The following is a 15,903-nucleotide window of genomic DNA, read 5'->3' on the forward strand; positions in this document are numbered from 1 at the left end:
CTTCCTTCATCTCTTTTTTTTAAAAAGTCAAAAGTAAAAGCAACCATGGTCTAATGCTGCCTTTTCTCTTTACTTTTAAATCCAAATAGCACAAGGAGCCCCGTAGAGGGAGGGACTTCGGCCCCGTGCTGATATCTGAAATCTGAACTTCATAGCACTTATGAAAAGGAAACAGTTTAGCTCAATTTATAATAATATATTGGTCTGCAGAGGAAGTGCAGGCTGAACCCTGCTGTCTCAAGTAAATACTCCAGGGGTGTCTGATGGGGAACGTGTCGGGTGCCTGTAATAAATCCACTGCCCATGGAAGTGAGTGAAGGCCTTGTTGGCAGTGCCTGAGGACATGCTTAACTAAGGTTGTCACGGTTTTACTTTTAAATTGGAATCTTTGCCCTAATCTCAGAGTTAGACATGACCAGATTTGCAAACAGATTTACAATTTTCACTAATTTTCCAACCAGGACTTCAAAACACACTCAGAGAAAAAAAAATACACTCTGGTCTTTCTCAGAGTAGGATGATTTACTTTGCCACAGATGTTTTCCATAGACTGAATGTAACCAGGGAGTTAGGGACTTAAAAGTGGCTTGGAGACAAACCATGGGTTTGTTTTTTGTGGAACAGATTATACAGTTCAAGGGACATCAACACAATTATGTTTATTAACCAGGAGCTGGGTGTGGAGGTGGGATGTTTCAGGACAAAGGTGAGTGCTAGGTAAACATTTGGGGCAAAAACCCTCTCTTCCTCCCTTAATTTGTTATTGTTATTCTTTACATGTCACCATTCATGACTCTGTTCTCTCTGCTCTATTTACATTTGTTTCTTAAGCACAACTAAATCTCACTTTCAAGTATTTGTTGTTACTATACCAATCAGCAGTTTCAAAACTTAAGTTGCCAGGTAAAAATTCCACTGCAAAAAAAGAAAACTGCAATAGAAATGTAAATGCATAGCCCTTCTTTTTTGGTTTTTCTTTACCTTGTCAACAGTTTAGGGTAGAGTTGTGAAAGGACCATAGGATTTCTATCAGGTAACCAGGTCCCAGACTCACCGCATTGTCAATTGCCTGTGTATTGCTAGTGCCTCTCTTAGTCTCTGCCTTCACTGTAAAATGGGAGCTTAATGATACTTCCTTCTCAGAGTTTTTGGGAGTACAAATAAGAAAATGTATGGGAATAGGCTTTGCAAGCTATAATTTGTAAGTGCAGACTTGTGAAGAGTGGGAACTGGACCATGGCATATTGGAGAACCAGTGAGACGACTGGGTGATAGAAGAATGCTGAATGCTGTGTTCGTATCCTGCTTCATGCCCAGAGTTTTGTCACCTTCACAAAATACCATTCCATACGTATATTTGCTACATATAGGAACTACAAGAAAGGGAAGTTTTACCAATGGATTCTTGAGGGTGAGGAGAATTAATATCTGGTCCATTGGTTATCAGAGCCCTGTAGTAATCAGTCTTACTTTGGTGGAGGCCAGCTTTACTTTTAGAGCCTGGCCAGTAGTTTTTTATAGATTAAGTTCACCTTCCTTGAAATACCTATGGCTTAGAGGCAGCAAGACCCAGAGCACAGAAATATTTGATGTGGTCTAAACTGTAAATTGCCATGCTTCTGTTTTTTGACTCAACATGGCCACTCCCACTGGAGTCTGTAGCCCTGTGAGCAGGAAGAACAGAGGTCTCCAGGAGTTTAGACTCTTAAGCGGGGGCTCCCTTGGGACTGAACATGGAAACTGTGGTATCTTTGTAAATCCTCCAGGTGTCCCTCAGTTTTGCCCTGATTTAGACATTTTATTCAAAGGAAAAAGCTTTTGTTATTTCTTTCTCTGACCCCATTCCCTTCCTCACCAACCTCTGAATGACCAGCTAAAGTAAAAAGTACACATAATTTATGGCTTAATCATAAATTTAAAATAATTATACTTTATTACCTCTCATGGGTCTTGAAATGTAGGTGCTATGTTCTGCTTTCTGCCGAGGCAAGGGAATAATACAGAAACCAGTAATAAATTATAACTTCAGGCTGCAGTTGGTAAGCTGGAGGAATTGCTATTTAAGTGGAAAGTGCTTGAACAGCCAAATGAGCACCTGTCATGTTTATTTTCACTTTGAAAAGTAGAAACATGACAGTATAGTTTCCACTGCCTATCCAATATGAACTTCTGGCATTCTTGTTATCTTCTCAGGAACTGCACTGTTTGCTTCTTGTGTTCAATTTTTTTTTTTTTCCAGGGATGAGGATGTATCTCTCCTCCTGAAACTTTCACTCTAAAATATGCCCCCAAATACTGACATTTTCAAGCTTGTGCTTTTTTACTTGATATCTGATTTTTTTTAAATTTTTATTTAATAGGGAGAAGGTCATGACTTATGGAATTTACTCTAAGGATAGGGATCTGAGCAGGTTCCTGAGTACTTGAAAGGCTTTATTTACCTCTTACACTTTTTTGTTACATCCAGGTTTTTGCTCATTTCTCTATCATTTGTGTCTTGAACTTTACCTGAAATGCATGTCTTGAGTGCCTACTAAGGTCCAGGCATTGTGCTGGCAGATTTGATATATTTTTGTTTATTCCTTATTACAGGACTATTACATAGTAGACTCTCATTCTGACACTCACTTTTTTTTTCCAGAAAAAAAAATTAATGGAGATTGATTGCTAATGGGTACAGGGCTGCTTTTAAGGCTATGAAAATGCTCTAAAATTAGTTTGTGGTGATGGTTGCACATCTCTGAACGTACTAAAATACATTGAATTATATACTTTCTTTTTTCTTCGTTTTGCAGCTTTTGCTCAAAGGAGAATTAGATATTTAAAATGAGTGAATTGTATGGTACATGAATTAGATCTCAATAAAACTATTTTAAAAAAAGAAACTAAAGCTTAGAGAAGTATAATATCTTGTTCAATATGACACTACCTGGTAAAGCTTTTGTCCAAATTTTTCTGAGACCAAAGCTATTCTTTCTTCCACTGACGCATGCTATCTCTACTAATTATATAGCCACGGTATCCTTTTTCTTTAAAAATGTAGGAAAAAATGGCTGGGTGCGGTGGCTCACGCCTGTAATCCCAGCACTTTGGGAGGCCAAGGCGGACGGATCTCTTGAGGTCAGGAGTTTGAGACCAGCCTGGCCAACATGGTGATACCCCACCTCTACTAAAAAAAAAAAAAAAAAAAAAAAATTAGCCAGGTGTGGTGGCGTGCACCTGTAATCCCAGCTACTCGGGAGGCTGAGGCATGATAATCACTTGAACCTGGGAGGCAGAGGTTGCAGCGAGTCAAGATTGCACCACTGCACTCCAGCCTGGGCAACAGAGTGAGACTCCGTCTCAAAAAAAAAAAAAGGAAAAAAAATAATTGGAGAAATAATACATGAACACACATGTATTCTCATTCAAACTTTGTGGAACTATATGAAATAAAATGTAGACATTCTCTTTCCCCTTGCTTTCCCATCTGGTCCTTTGTAAGTGTTAGCGTAAAGATAGTTATGTTGACATATTTAAATATATGTTGCTGCTGCTGTATTTTTAAAAAACATAAATGATACTTTATTATAAATATTACTCTAGTGTTTGTTTTTTGTACATAATATGTGCTGGAAATTTTTTTATGTCAGTATGTCATTCATATTATTATTGTTATTATAAAAATACTACATGCACAAGGAAATAAAAATTGAAAGATTTAAAATGGAAAGTTGAGGAAGATCTAAAATGGAAAGTGAAAAACTCCACCTATCCCCAAGTTCCATCCCTTAGAGGTAACTGCTTTTCACTGTATTTGCGTTTTATTCTTTGATTACCTCCCTAACCCTTAAACATATATATACTTGTACTTTTATTTCTTTAATAACTTTAAGCATTCTTGGTTGTTGATCAGTTAAGAATGACAGAAACAGGCAGATTGCTGGAGCCCGGAAGTTTGAGTCCAGCCTGGGCAACATGGCAAAACTCTGTCTCTACAAAAAATACAAAAAAAAAAAAAAAAAAAGCCAGGTAAGCCAGGTATGGTGGCAAACACCCGTGGTCACAACTACTTGGGAGGTTGAAGTGGGAGGATCAGCTGAGCTCGGGAGGTTGAGCCTAAAGGGAACTGTGATCGCGCCACTGCACTCCAGGCTGGGTGACAGAGCAAGACCTTGTCTCAAAAAAAAAGAAAAGAAAAAGAAAAAAGAATTATGGAATTAGTGCTCTGATACTACCTCTCACTCTTGCCAAATTTGGCTAGTTAACCTTTACTTTTAGGGGTTTATTTCCTTAATTACTTTCCTTAGAACCAGTTTATAGATACTTTCTCTTGAATTTTAGTGTGTAATGTGGGGAATTAAAGTTCTCTTTCAGCCATGTCATTACTTTGACATGATTGAGGTTTACAACTTTACATACAGATCTGTAATTTTGATAAGACAAGCACGCTTATAAGTTGATCTGAAATTAGAAAGCCAGTACATAATGATGTTGATGTAAGTGTTGTTTATTGCAAAATGAGATAGAGTGATGGAATTAATAGGTAGAAAATGTAATCTACTGTAACTATCCAACCTGCGCCAATGAATGAAGAATACTGCACATGTCAGGTCAAGATTTTATACTTAATCAAAAGCTCAAAATTATGTACATTTTAGCTTGCTTTGTATTTGAATCATGACTTTGTTGCATAGTTTCCCTCTCCCCCTGGAGACTTATATTCGTCTTTTTTTTTACTCTTACTGATAGAAGAAGCATGCTATAATGATTGCTCAATATCACTAGATGTTTCGTCATGTGACTTGTTCAGTGTTTGATAAACACTGGCTTCTTCATACCCCACCTACCACAGTTATCATACTGGGATTTCTTCTCATTGGACACCTTTGCCAATTCCATTAAAAAATCATTTTAGGCTAGGTGCGGTGGCTCACGCCTGTAATCCCAACACTTTGGGAGGCTGAGGCGGGCGGATCACCTGAGGTTGGGAGTTTGAGACCAGCCTGGCCAACATGGCGAAACCCCATCTCTACTAAAAATACAAAAATTAGCCAGGTGTCGTGGCAGGCACCCGTAGTCCTAGTGCCTGTTTTAGTTACTGGGGAGGCCGAGGCCAGAGAATCCCTTGAACCTGTTAGGCGGTGGTTGCAGTGAGCCAAGATCGCACCATTGCACTCTAGCCTGGGTGACAGAGCAGGACTTTGTCTCAAGAAAAAAAAATGTATTTTAAATTTCAGTAGCCTTAGGGATATAAGCAGTTTTTGGTTCCATGGATGATTTGTATAGTGTTGAAGTCTGGTATTTTAATGTACCTGTCACCTGAGTAGTATACATCTGATAAGTGTTTTGTTTTTTTTTTCATCCATCACCCCCCTCCCATCCTCCTCTCTTCTGAATCTCCAGTGTCCATTGTACCACTCTCTACACCTTCATGTGCCCATAGCTTAGTGCCCACTTACAAGTGAGAACATGCAATATTTGTTTGTCCATTCCTGAGTTACTTCACTTAGAATAATGGCCTTCAGTTTCATCCACGTTGCTGCAAAAGACATGATTTCATTTTTTTTAATGACTGAGTAGTATTTCATGGTATATATACATGCCACATTTTCTTTATCTACTCAACAGTTGTTGGGCACTTTGGTTGATTCCATATCTTTGCAATTGTGAAATGTGCTGCAATAAACATATGCGTGCAGATATCTTTTTGATATAATGACTTCTTTTTCAGGTAGATACCCAGCAGTGGATTGTTGGGTCAAATGGTAGAGTTACTTTTAGTTCTTTGAGAAATCTCCATACTGTTTTCCATGGAGGTTGTAGTAATTTACATTTCCACCCCCAGTGTATAAGCACTCCCTTTTCACTACATTTCTAGCAACATCTATTATTTTTTGACTTTTTAATAATGGTCATTCTGGCTAGGATAAGGTGATATCTCATTGTGGTTTTAATTTGCATTTCTTTGATGATATGTGATATTGAGCATTTTTTCATATGTTTATTGGCCATTTGTATATTTTCTTTTGAGAAATGTCTATTCATGTCATTTGCCCACTTTTTAGTGGGATTATTTGTTTTTTTTCTTGCTGATTTGTTTGGATTCCTTATAGGTTCTTTGTCAGATGCATAGCTTGCAAATATTTTCTCCCATTCTGTAGGTTGTCTGTTTACTCTGATAATTATTTATTTTGTTGTGCAGAAGCTTTTTAGTTTAAGTAGGTCCCGTTTATTTATTTTTTGTTGCATTTGCTTTTGGGGTCCTATTCATAAATTCTTGCCTAGCCCAATGTCTAGAAAGAGTTTTCTTCTAGAATTTTTATGGGCTCAGGTCTTAGATTTAAGTCTTTAATCCATGTTGAGTTAATTTTTGTATATGGTGAGACACAGGGATCCAGTTTCATTCTTCTACATGTGGCTATCCAATGTTCCCGCACTGTTTTGAATAGGGTGTCCCTTTTCCAGTATATCCTTTGTCGAAGATCAGTTAGTTGTAAGTATTTGGCTTTATTTATGGCTTCTCCATTTTGTTCCATCAGTCTGTGTATCTACTTTTATACCAGTACCATGCTGTTTTAGTTACTACAGCTTTGTGGTATAATTTTAAGACAGATAATGTGATGCCTCCAGATTTGTTCTATTTGTTTAGGATTCATTGGCTATTCAGGCTCTTTTTTGGTTCTGTATGAATTTTAGGATTATTTTTTTCTAATTCTGTGACAAATTACATTGGTATTTTGATAGGAATTGCATCAAGTCTGTAAATTTGTTTGGGCAGTATGGTCATTTTCATGATATTGATTCTTCCAATCCGTGAGTATGGGATGTATTTCTATTCATTTGTGTCATCTATGATTTCTTTCATCAGTGTTTTATAGTTCTCTTTGTAGAGATCTTCTACTACCTTGGTCAAGTTTATTTCTAGGTACTTTATTATTATTATTTTTTTTAGCTATTATCAAAGGGATTGAGTTCTTGATTTGATTCTCAGCTTGGTCATTGTTAGTGCATTGCAGTGCTACTGATTTGTGTACATTGATTTTGTAACCCAAAACTTTACTGAATTTGTTTTTCAAATCTAGGAGTCCTTGGAAGTGTTGTTAGGATTTTCTACCTACACAATCATATTACTGGCAAACAGAGATAGTTTGACTTCCTCTTTTCAATTTGGATGCCCTTTATTTCTTTCCTTTGCCTGGTTGCTCTGGCTGGGACTTCCTGCCAATTCCACTTTTACTTGGATCATTTGTATTTCTCTTTCTTAGAATTTTCTAAAAATTCTGTTATATTTAAATTTTCTAAAAATTATACCATATTTTAGATTCTTCCAGGCAAGGACTGTTTTAGCTTTGTATCCTGTACAGCACCTAACACAGTACTTTGAATATGGCTGGTGCTTACTAAGTATTTGTTGAACTAATAAGTGAATGAATGAACCAAGAACTGGCTTTTTTTTTTCATTTCATGGTAGTGTGTCTTGGTTATACAAGCAAAAGGAAGTATTAATTCTATCCTTGAAAGCCCCTGCCTGGGAAAGGTTTTGAAATTCCTTCTCAAACAGATGGCCATTCACCTAATGCTTGGAGATTACCAGAGACAGAATTTAGAATCTTCCATGGCAGCCTATTCTTTTTCACAGTAACTCATGCTTCTTTTCCTTACATCTAGTCTAACTAACCACGTGACATCACAGAACTTTCTAAAGAGACACAGTATCTGGATCCATCTGTACATTCCCTTCTAAATTTTTTTATAAGAAAACCATCAAAGATAAAAATAATGTGTTGGTTTCTTTTAGGCTGAGGAGGAATGTTTTACTATGCATTTTGAAATTTTTTTGTTCTCTCATATTTCATTCAATTAGAGTCACCCTGTTTTGGGGTAATTCTGCATCTGAGTTTGGTGGTGGAATTTTTCCCATTGGCTAACAGTCTTCATATGCCCTCTTTGGCCACCTGTCTATTGAACATAATTCCCAAAGGCATGAGCTATAGAAAATTTTTTTTTTTAGGCCTTTATGTAGGTTGTATATCCTGTGTGTGTTATTTGCCACTCCTGTAAAGACAGTGGAAGAATGACTGTGAATGATGCCATTATTTTTTTCAGTCGATCTTTATTGAAGGTTCGAATTTAGGACTAGGCCGGGAATGAGTTTGACTTTCCTCATCTAGTCAGTCCCAGCAGCACGTTTCAAGGTCAGACTATATACCTCATGCTGGAAGGTTCCTTAGACTTTGTAATCTAAGCCCAATAAACATCTTTTTTTTTTTTTGGGGGGGGATATTTATTTACCAAATAAATAGGACAGCACACAGCCATCCGTGAAGGTGATAAGAGCTTTGACTAGTTTTATAAATCTTCCCCTAAATATAATTTTCTATGGGAGTGAAAACTCTTTTATAAAAACAATTGAGAGACCGAGGCAGGTGGATCACTTGAGGTCAGGAGTTCGAGACCAGCCTGGGCAACATGGTGAAAGGCTGTCTCTACTAAAAATACAAAAATTAGCTGAGTGTGGTGGCGTGTGCCTGTAATCCCAGCTACTCGAGAGGCTGAGGCAGGAGAATCACTTGAACCCAGGAGGCAGAGGTTGCAGTGAGCTGAGATCGCGCCACTACACTCCAGCCTGGGTGACAGAGCCAGACTCCATCTCAAAAAAAAAAACAAGCATGGAGGTGAAGATGATCTCAAGGTACATAAGATACATACCTAAAGGTACAAAGATATAAATCATAGTCCTTGGTCAATTCATTATAGTGGTTTTGTAGTCTGTCCTACAGTTGGTTGGGGTAACAACCTCTTTTCTTATTTTTGTTCACACTGCTCTCTCTACCCCCTCATCTAGGTATGTGTATAGCTCATTTATTTAGGGGTGATGTTAAAAAATTGAATGCCCTTAATGGCAAGGGAACCAACCAATCAATGTGGATGCCACAACTTTTTCCCCTGTTGACTGTTGTTATTGGTATGGAAGTATTTTTTTTTTCTCCCAGCTTTTATTTCAGGTTCAAGGGATACATATGCAGGTTTGTTACATGGGTAAATTGCATATTGTAGGGGTTTAGTATACAGATTATTTCATCACCCAGGTAATAAGCGTAGTACCTGATAGATAATTTTTCGATCCTTACCCTCCTCCCACCTTCCACCCTCAAGTGGGCCCTAGTGTCTGTTGTTCCTTTCTTTGTGTCCATGTTTACTCAGTGTTTAGCTCCCACTTATAAGAGAGAACGTGCAGTATTTGGTTTTCTTTTCCTGCGTGAATTCACTTAGGATAAGGGCTTCTAGCTGCTTATGTCACCTACTTATGTCACCTACTACTACTAAGCTTTTTGAGAACCTGGTCTCTCTCTCTCTCTCTCTCTCTCTCTTTCTATATATATATAGGAAGTCCTGGATTCTGGGGCTTCGAGGGCTGACCTGGAGCCTGAGTCCACAAGGGCATACCTGGTGCTAGAGTAGGCTTGGAGCCTTCGTCTTTGGAGGCCACCCTATCACTGGGGTTCACTGGGGTGGACCTCTGCTTGGTTTACAGAGAAGTTGGGTACTCACTTCATTCTCCTTCCCCCACACAAAGGGTATCCCTCTTGACACTGTGCTGCTCAGGCTTCAGGGAGAGGTGACGTAGGTAATTTGAAACTGTTCTTCCTACTCATCAATGTGTCTTTTCTTATTTCTGTGCTCCATCCAGGCAATGTAATCTTTAACCTGGATTCCTTTGCTCTTATAAAGGTATTCTGTGCATGGATAGTTATTCAAATTGATGTTTCTACAAGGAGACAAGTGCTATTCTGACATCTTGCTTGAAAGTAAGGGATTAATTTTTAAACCAGTTTTTAACAATTATTTTCAAGAACTGTTTAGTGATAAGAAAACAATGCTCAAAATATAAAAGTATCAGGGAAAAAAGATGCAAAATGTTTGTACAACATGATATTAATTTTATATAAACAAAGGATAAACATATTACTAAGTATAAAAAAAAACTAGAAGGAATTAGACCAAATAATTATAAATAATATTTTCTCTTCTTTACACTTTTCTATAGTTTGCAAATTCTCTACAATGAGCATGTACCCTAATTCATCAGTTCCAAGGTAGACATTTTTTCTTCATATTTAACATCTCTGAAATTGGAATCCATCTTAAACTGATGCCTTCTTTGACTGGATGATATATTATTACTTTTAAATTAAGCAATACAAACTTTAAAAATAAGTATCCTTATGTTTTAAAGCTTCAAACGGAAATGTTCAATAAAGAGATTCTCAGGAAAGAGGTATTCATTCACCAAATAAATAGGACAGTAAACAGTGATCAGTGAAATTGGTAAGAGCTTTGGCTAGTTTTGTAAATCTTCCCCAAAATAAAATTTTTCCATGGAAGTGAAAAGTCTTTCAACAAAACAAGTATAGAGATAAAGATAATCTCAAGGTACATAACTTCCCCTCTCCTTCTCCCCTTTTTTTAGAATTAACTTTTATGGAATGCTCAGTTTGTTGATGGGTTTTGAAGAGAATAGATTCTTGAGGTTAATAATTGATTTTTGCTTTGCTTTCTTTTCTTTTTTTTTCCTTTTTGTGAGACGGGGTCTTGATCTGTCACCCAGGCTGGAGGGCAGTGGTGGGATCTCGGCTCACTGCAACCTCCGCCTCCTGGGTTCAAATGATTCTCCTGCCTCAATCTCCTGAGCGGCTGGGACTATAGGCTCGTGCCACCACGCCCAGCTGATTTTTGTATTTTTACTAGAGACGGGGTTTCACCATGTTGGCCAGGATAGTCTCGATCTCTTGACCTCATGATCCGCCCACCTCGGCCTCCCAAAGTGCTGGGATTACAGGCATGAGCCACCTTGCCTGGCCGATTTTTGCTTTCTAAATAAGCAAAAAGATCTTTAATCCACTTTAGCCAGGGCTACCTTTCTCCTTTATTCTTCCAAGTTGTAACTCTTCCCAGGAGACTGCAGAGTATAGCGAGTTGGGGAAAAGGAAAGATGAGAAGGGAGAGAGGTTAGATTGACAGAAAAGATAATTAAATGGTTTTCTCCATTTTCCCCTTTGTATGTGCAGAGCCCATCACTTCTGCCCACAGTTCCACTAAACTGTGAAGACCAGAATCTCTCAAAGTTAATGAATGAAACAGAAGAAGCCACTTCAACCTCCAATTTCTGTTTCTATGTCTTCTGACCTCCTTCTTTACACATCCTATCTCATATCCAATTTTCCATTAGCAATTAAGAAGGATAGCTATGGTTTCTGGCTAATACCTGGGGAGAGAAAAAGGATGTTCTCTCCAAATATGTGGTAAGTTTCTAGTATGTGCAAGGTTCTACATGCTGTGTGTAGTATAAAAATATATATCACTATATATCATATCAATGATATATATATTTCATTATATGATTTATATATCATATAAATATATATCACTGTATATTAAATATATTTTAATGATATTTATATATATATCATATATAACTCATAAAACTCAATAGCAGGTTAACAAGTAACCTGACCTAAAAACGAGCAAAGGACTTGAATAGACATTTCTGAAAAGGAGACATATGAATGCTCAACATGTATATGAAAATGTGCTCAACATCTAGTCATCAGTGAAATCTAAATCAAAACCACAATGAGATATTACTTCACACTTGTTACAATAACTATTATACAATAGACAATAGATAACAAGTGTTGGTGAGGATGTGGAGAGAAGGGAACCCTTGTACACCATTGGTGGGAGTGTAAATTGGTATAGCCATTGTGGAAAACTGCATGGAGGTTTCTCAAACAGTTAAAAATAGAACTTTCATATGACCCAGCGATTCTACTTTGGTATACATATCCAAAGGAAATGAAATCAGTATCTCAAAGAGATATCTTCATTCCCATGTTCATTGCTGCATTATTCACAAAAGCCATGATTTAGAAACAACCTAAATATCTGTTAACAGATGATTGAATAAAGAAAATGCAGTAGGTATATCTATATCTATATCTACACACACATACCCACACATATCCACACATAATGAAATATTACTCAGTCTTAAAAAAGAAGGAAATCGTGTCATGTGTGACAGTGTGGAATATGTTATGCTAAGTGAAATAAGCAAGGCACAGAAAGACAAATACCACATGATCTTACTTATATGTGGAATCTAACAATGTTATACTCATAAATGCACAGAGTTGAATGTGGTTTCCAAGGGTTTGAGGGATGTTGGGTAGATGTTGGTCAAAAGGTACCAAGTTTTGTTTATGCAGAATGAATAAGCTCTAGAGACCTAATGTACAGCATAGTAACTGTATTAGTCTGTCACATTGCTGTGAAGAAATACCTGAGACTGGGTAATTTATAAAGAAGTTTCATTGGTTCACAGTTCCCCAGGCTGTTCAGGAAGTAGGACGCTGGCATCTGCTTGGCTTCTAGGGAGGCCTCATAAAATTATGTTGGAAAGCAAAAAGGGGGAGCCAGCCCTTCACATGCCCGGAGCAGGAGGAAGAGAGAGTGAGGGGGGATGTGCCACACACTTTTAAACCACCTGATCTTGTGAGAACTCACTGTCATGAGAACAGCACTGAGAGGATGGTGCTAAACCATTCATGAGAAACCGCCATGATCCAATCACCTCCCACCAGAACTCATCTCCAACACTGGGGATTACAGTATGACATCAGATTTTGTGGGGACACAGATCCAAACAATATCAGTAATTATATTTATTAATACTGTATTACATATGTGAAATTAGCTAAGAGAGTAGATCTTAAATGTTTTTAACACACACACACACACACACACACACACACACACACGTTTACTGTGAGGTCATGGGTATATTAATTAGATTGGTTTTAGAAGTCATTTCACAATGTATATGTATATTAAAACGTTACATTTTACATTGTAGATATATAAAATGTTTGTCAATTATACTTCAGTAAAGTTCAGAAAATGTTTTAAATCACAAAATAATCTTCTACTTTGGTTATTCAAGTTTTTTGATATTATATATATTGCTACAGTGAACATCTTTGTACATATATCTTTATTTCCATAGGAAAAATTGCTAGAAGTTGAATGCCTTGGTGAGGTATTATGGTGTGGACATTTACACAGTACATACTCTGTTGTCAGACTGTTACTTAGAGAGATTTTCATTTTCATTCCTACCTGCAATGTATGAAATGTGATCATCAGTTACTTCCACCAACCTCCTTTACCCTACTGTATACAGTGCTAAGTGTTCCAATTTACAAATATTTTTGCCGATTTGATGGGTGAAAATATGCTATTATTTTAAATGTCATTTATTTATTCATGAGGTTGAACACTTTGTATTTTTGTTGGCCATTCTTCTTTCTGTTATTCATTGGCTGATCGTATTTTGCTCATTTTTCTGTTGAGGTGTTAGTGTTTTTCTTAACATTTACTTTATCCCTTCTGCCTTTAACTTTATTGCTTTAACCCTTCTGCCCACTTCCCAGATATTTTCTTATACCCAATTTTCAATTTTGTATTTAGATTTTTAATATTTATTTTAGGTGAAACATCTTTCCATTTAAGTCTTAATCGCAATAGTTGCATTAAATTAAATAACAATATTTGAAATTATTTAACTGCGTTTATGCTTACTGCTAGCCTTTTTGTACTGTGATTTAAAAAAAATTCTTGATTGTTCTCTTGGTCAGCCAAAATGTAGTTTCTAATAATATTTATGAAGACTAATGGCAGGGGAGTGGTCGTGGCATATTCTTTGAGTCTTTGCATTATAGAAGAGTGACTTCCTATCCTTTCACTTGTGAATATCTGCTTGATTGGCTATAGGATTCTTAAGTATCAAACTTCCCCCTTAAAACTCTGTAGAGGCTGGGTGCAGTGGCTCATCCGTGTAATCCCAGCACTTTGGGAGGTCGAGGTGGGCAGATCAGGAGGTCAGGATTTCAAGACCAGCCTGGCCAACACAGCAAAACATCATCTACTGAAAATACAACAATTAGCCAGGTGTGATGGCACATGCCTGTAATCCCAGCTACTCAGGAGGCTGAGGCAGGAGAATCACTTGAACCCAGCAGGCAGAGGTTGCAGTGAGCTGAGATTGTGCCACTGCACTCCAGCCTGGGCGATTAGTGAGACTTCATCTCAAAAAACAAACAAACAAACAAAAAAACCACCACCAACAACTCTATGGATATCGTTCTGTGACCTCTGATATTTGATGTTGGGAGATGTCTGAGGTGATCTACATTATGGTTTCATTTTGGTAAGCTGTATTTTCTGTTTGGACATTTGTAGTATTTTATATTTAATTTTTTAACAGAATATGTTTATGTCCTTGCTCAACCATTTTATAGTGCAGACTCTGGTCTTTTCACAACCTTGGAAAACATTCTTCTAGTGTTTCTTTGATTATTCTTATATCTTTCTGTATCTTACTTTTTTTTTTTTTTTTCAAGATGGAGTCTCTCTGTCGCCCAGGCTGGAGTACATTGGTGTGATCTCGGCTCACTGCAACCTCTGCCTCCCAGGTTCAAGCAATTCTCCTGCCTCTGCCTCCCGAGTAGTTGGGATTACAGGCGCCTGCCACCACACCCAGCTAATTTTTTTTTTGTATTTTTAGTAGAGACAGTGTTTCACCATGTTGGCAGGGCTGATCTTGAACTCCTGACTGGCCTTAAGTAATCCATCTGCCTTGGACTCCCAAAGTGCTGGGATTACCGGTGTGAGCCACCATGCCCAGCCTGTATTTTACTTCCATTCTGTGATTCCTGTTAAGTACATTTGGATCTCCAGGATCTGTTCCTCATGTCTAAGGTTTTCCATCACTCATTTCTTGTATTTTCCCTGAGTTATAGGAGAATCTCTTGAGTTCACTCATCCAGCTCAGTAATTTGGTTTTTCTGCAGCATGTTTTCTGCTGTTCACTCCATCTATTGCCGTGTTAAATGAAGAAATGCTATTAAAAAAGTCAGTTGCCAGTGGTTTTTTCTGATCTCATACTGTTTCAGCTTCATGTCTGCTTACCGTATTTTCACAGATGCAGTGCCTTCTTGAATCAAGTGTCTTCTTGAAAAACTGAGAATTTTCTAAAATTTTATCATGTCAGTTCGAGTAAACTTTTTTCAGAAAAGACAGTTTTGATCAAAGTGCCTCCATTCCTTTGAACTGTAGTAATTTTGCATAGTTCTGGCAATTACTCCTTGCCTCTTTATCCTCATAGAAAGTAGACTAGTACTGGCTGATAGGCAAGTAGCTGAGATTGGTTCTGTGAGAGATTAGTATGGATTCCTGGCCAAATCCTTTACTTGAAGGTGGAAGAAGATGTGTCCTTACACAGTCATGTAGAGATTTTATAAATTGGAGTGTGCTTAAGAACTTGTTTTTGTCTTTATGTGGATGCTTGCAGTATGAGCAAACCATGGTAGGTTTTGGCCCACTCCTATCATTGCTGATTGCTCCAGTTCCTTGTTTCTGCAATGCCTGGTACTCAGAGTCATGGCTTATAACAGCAGCACATCCAGGGGTCTGTGAGTATCACAGGTTATGTGCACAGAATTCTGGCTACAGTGAGTATCACAGGTTGTGTGCATAGAATGCTCGCTACAGAGGCAAGAGCCTTGCTCTCTGAGTGCCCTGTAAGCTTCTCTTGCCCTCCTGCTCTTTGCTTTCTGAGTTAAGAGGTGAGCATTTTGCTCAGGATTTGATTGGTATATTTATCAGGCTCGCTGCTCTTTTGGAGAGACAATCACCTGTCAGCCTTCTTTGCCCTTCTTTAATCTAATTCCACCTATACTATATTCAGCGCAATCATTTGCACTTCTGGCATATTGAGCACCTTTCTCTAATATATAGTGCCAAAAGAGGTTTTGATCCATTTTTATGTTCCATTGATTGTCTCATTGAGAATCTAGGAAT

At 37.7% G+C, this 15,903-nt stretch overlaps 1 protein-coding gene across 25 annotated transcripts in view; it reads left to right on the forward strand.

Annotated features, from left to right (window-relative positions):
• The window catches only part of FTO (FTO alpha-ketoglutarate dependent dioxygenase), a 417,979-nt gene that overhangs the window by 144,152 nt on the left and 257,924 nt on the right, over nt 1-15,903 (forward strand). Inside the window, exon 5 of one of the 25 annotated variants that reach the window (XR_007064911.1) lies at nt 11,052-11,285. The exons of the other annotated variants lie outside the window; for them this stretch is intronic. The gene's annotated coding sequence lies outside the window, so the exon portion shown is untranslated. The remainder of the gene's footprint in view (nt 1-11,051; nt 11,286-15,903) is intronic. 25 annotated transcript variants of the gene reach the window in all.

The sequence above is a fragment of the Homo sapiens genome, chromosome 16 (assembly GCF_000001405.40).
Source record: "Homo sapiens chromosome 16, GRCh38.p14 Primary Assembly".
NCBI classification, from domain to species: Eukaryota; Metazoa; Chordata; class Mammalia; order Primates; family Hominidae; genus Homo; species Homo sapiens.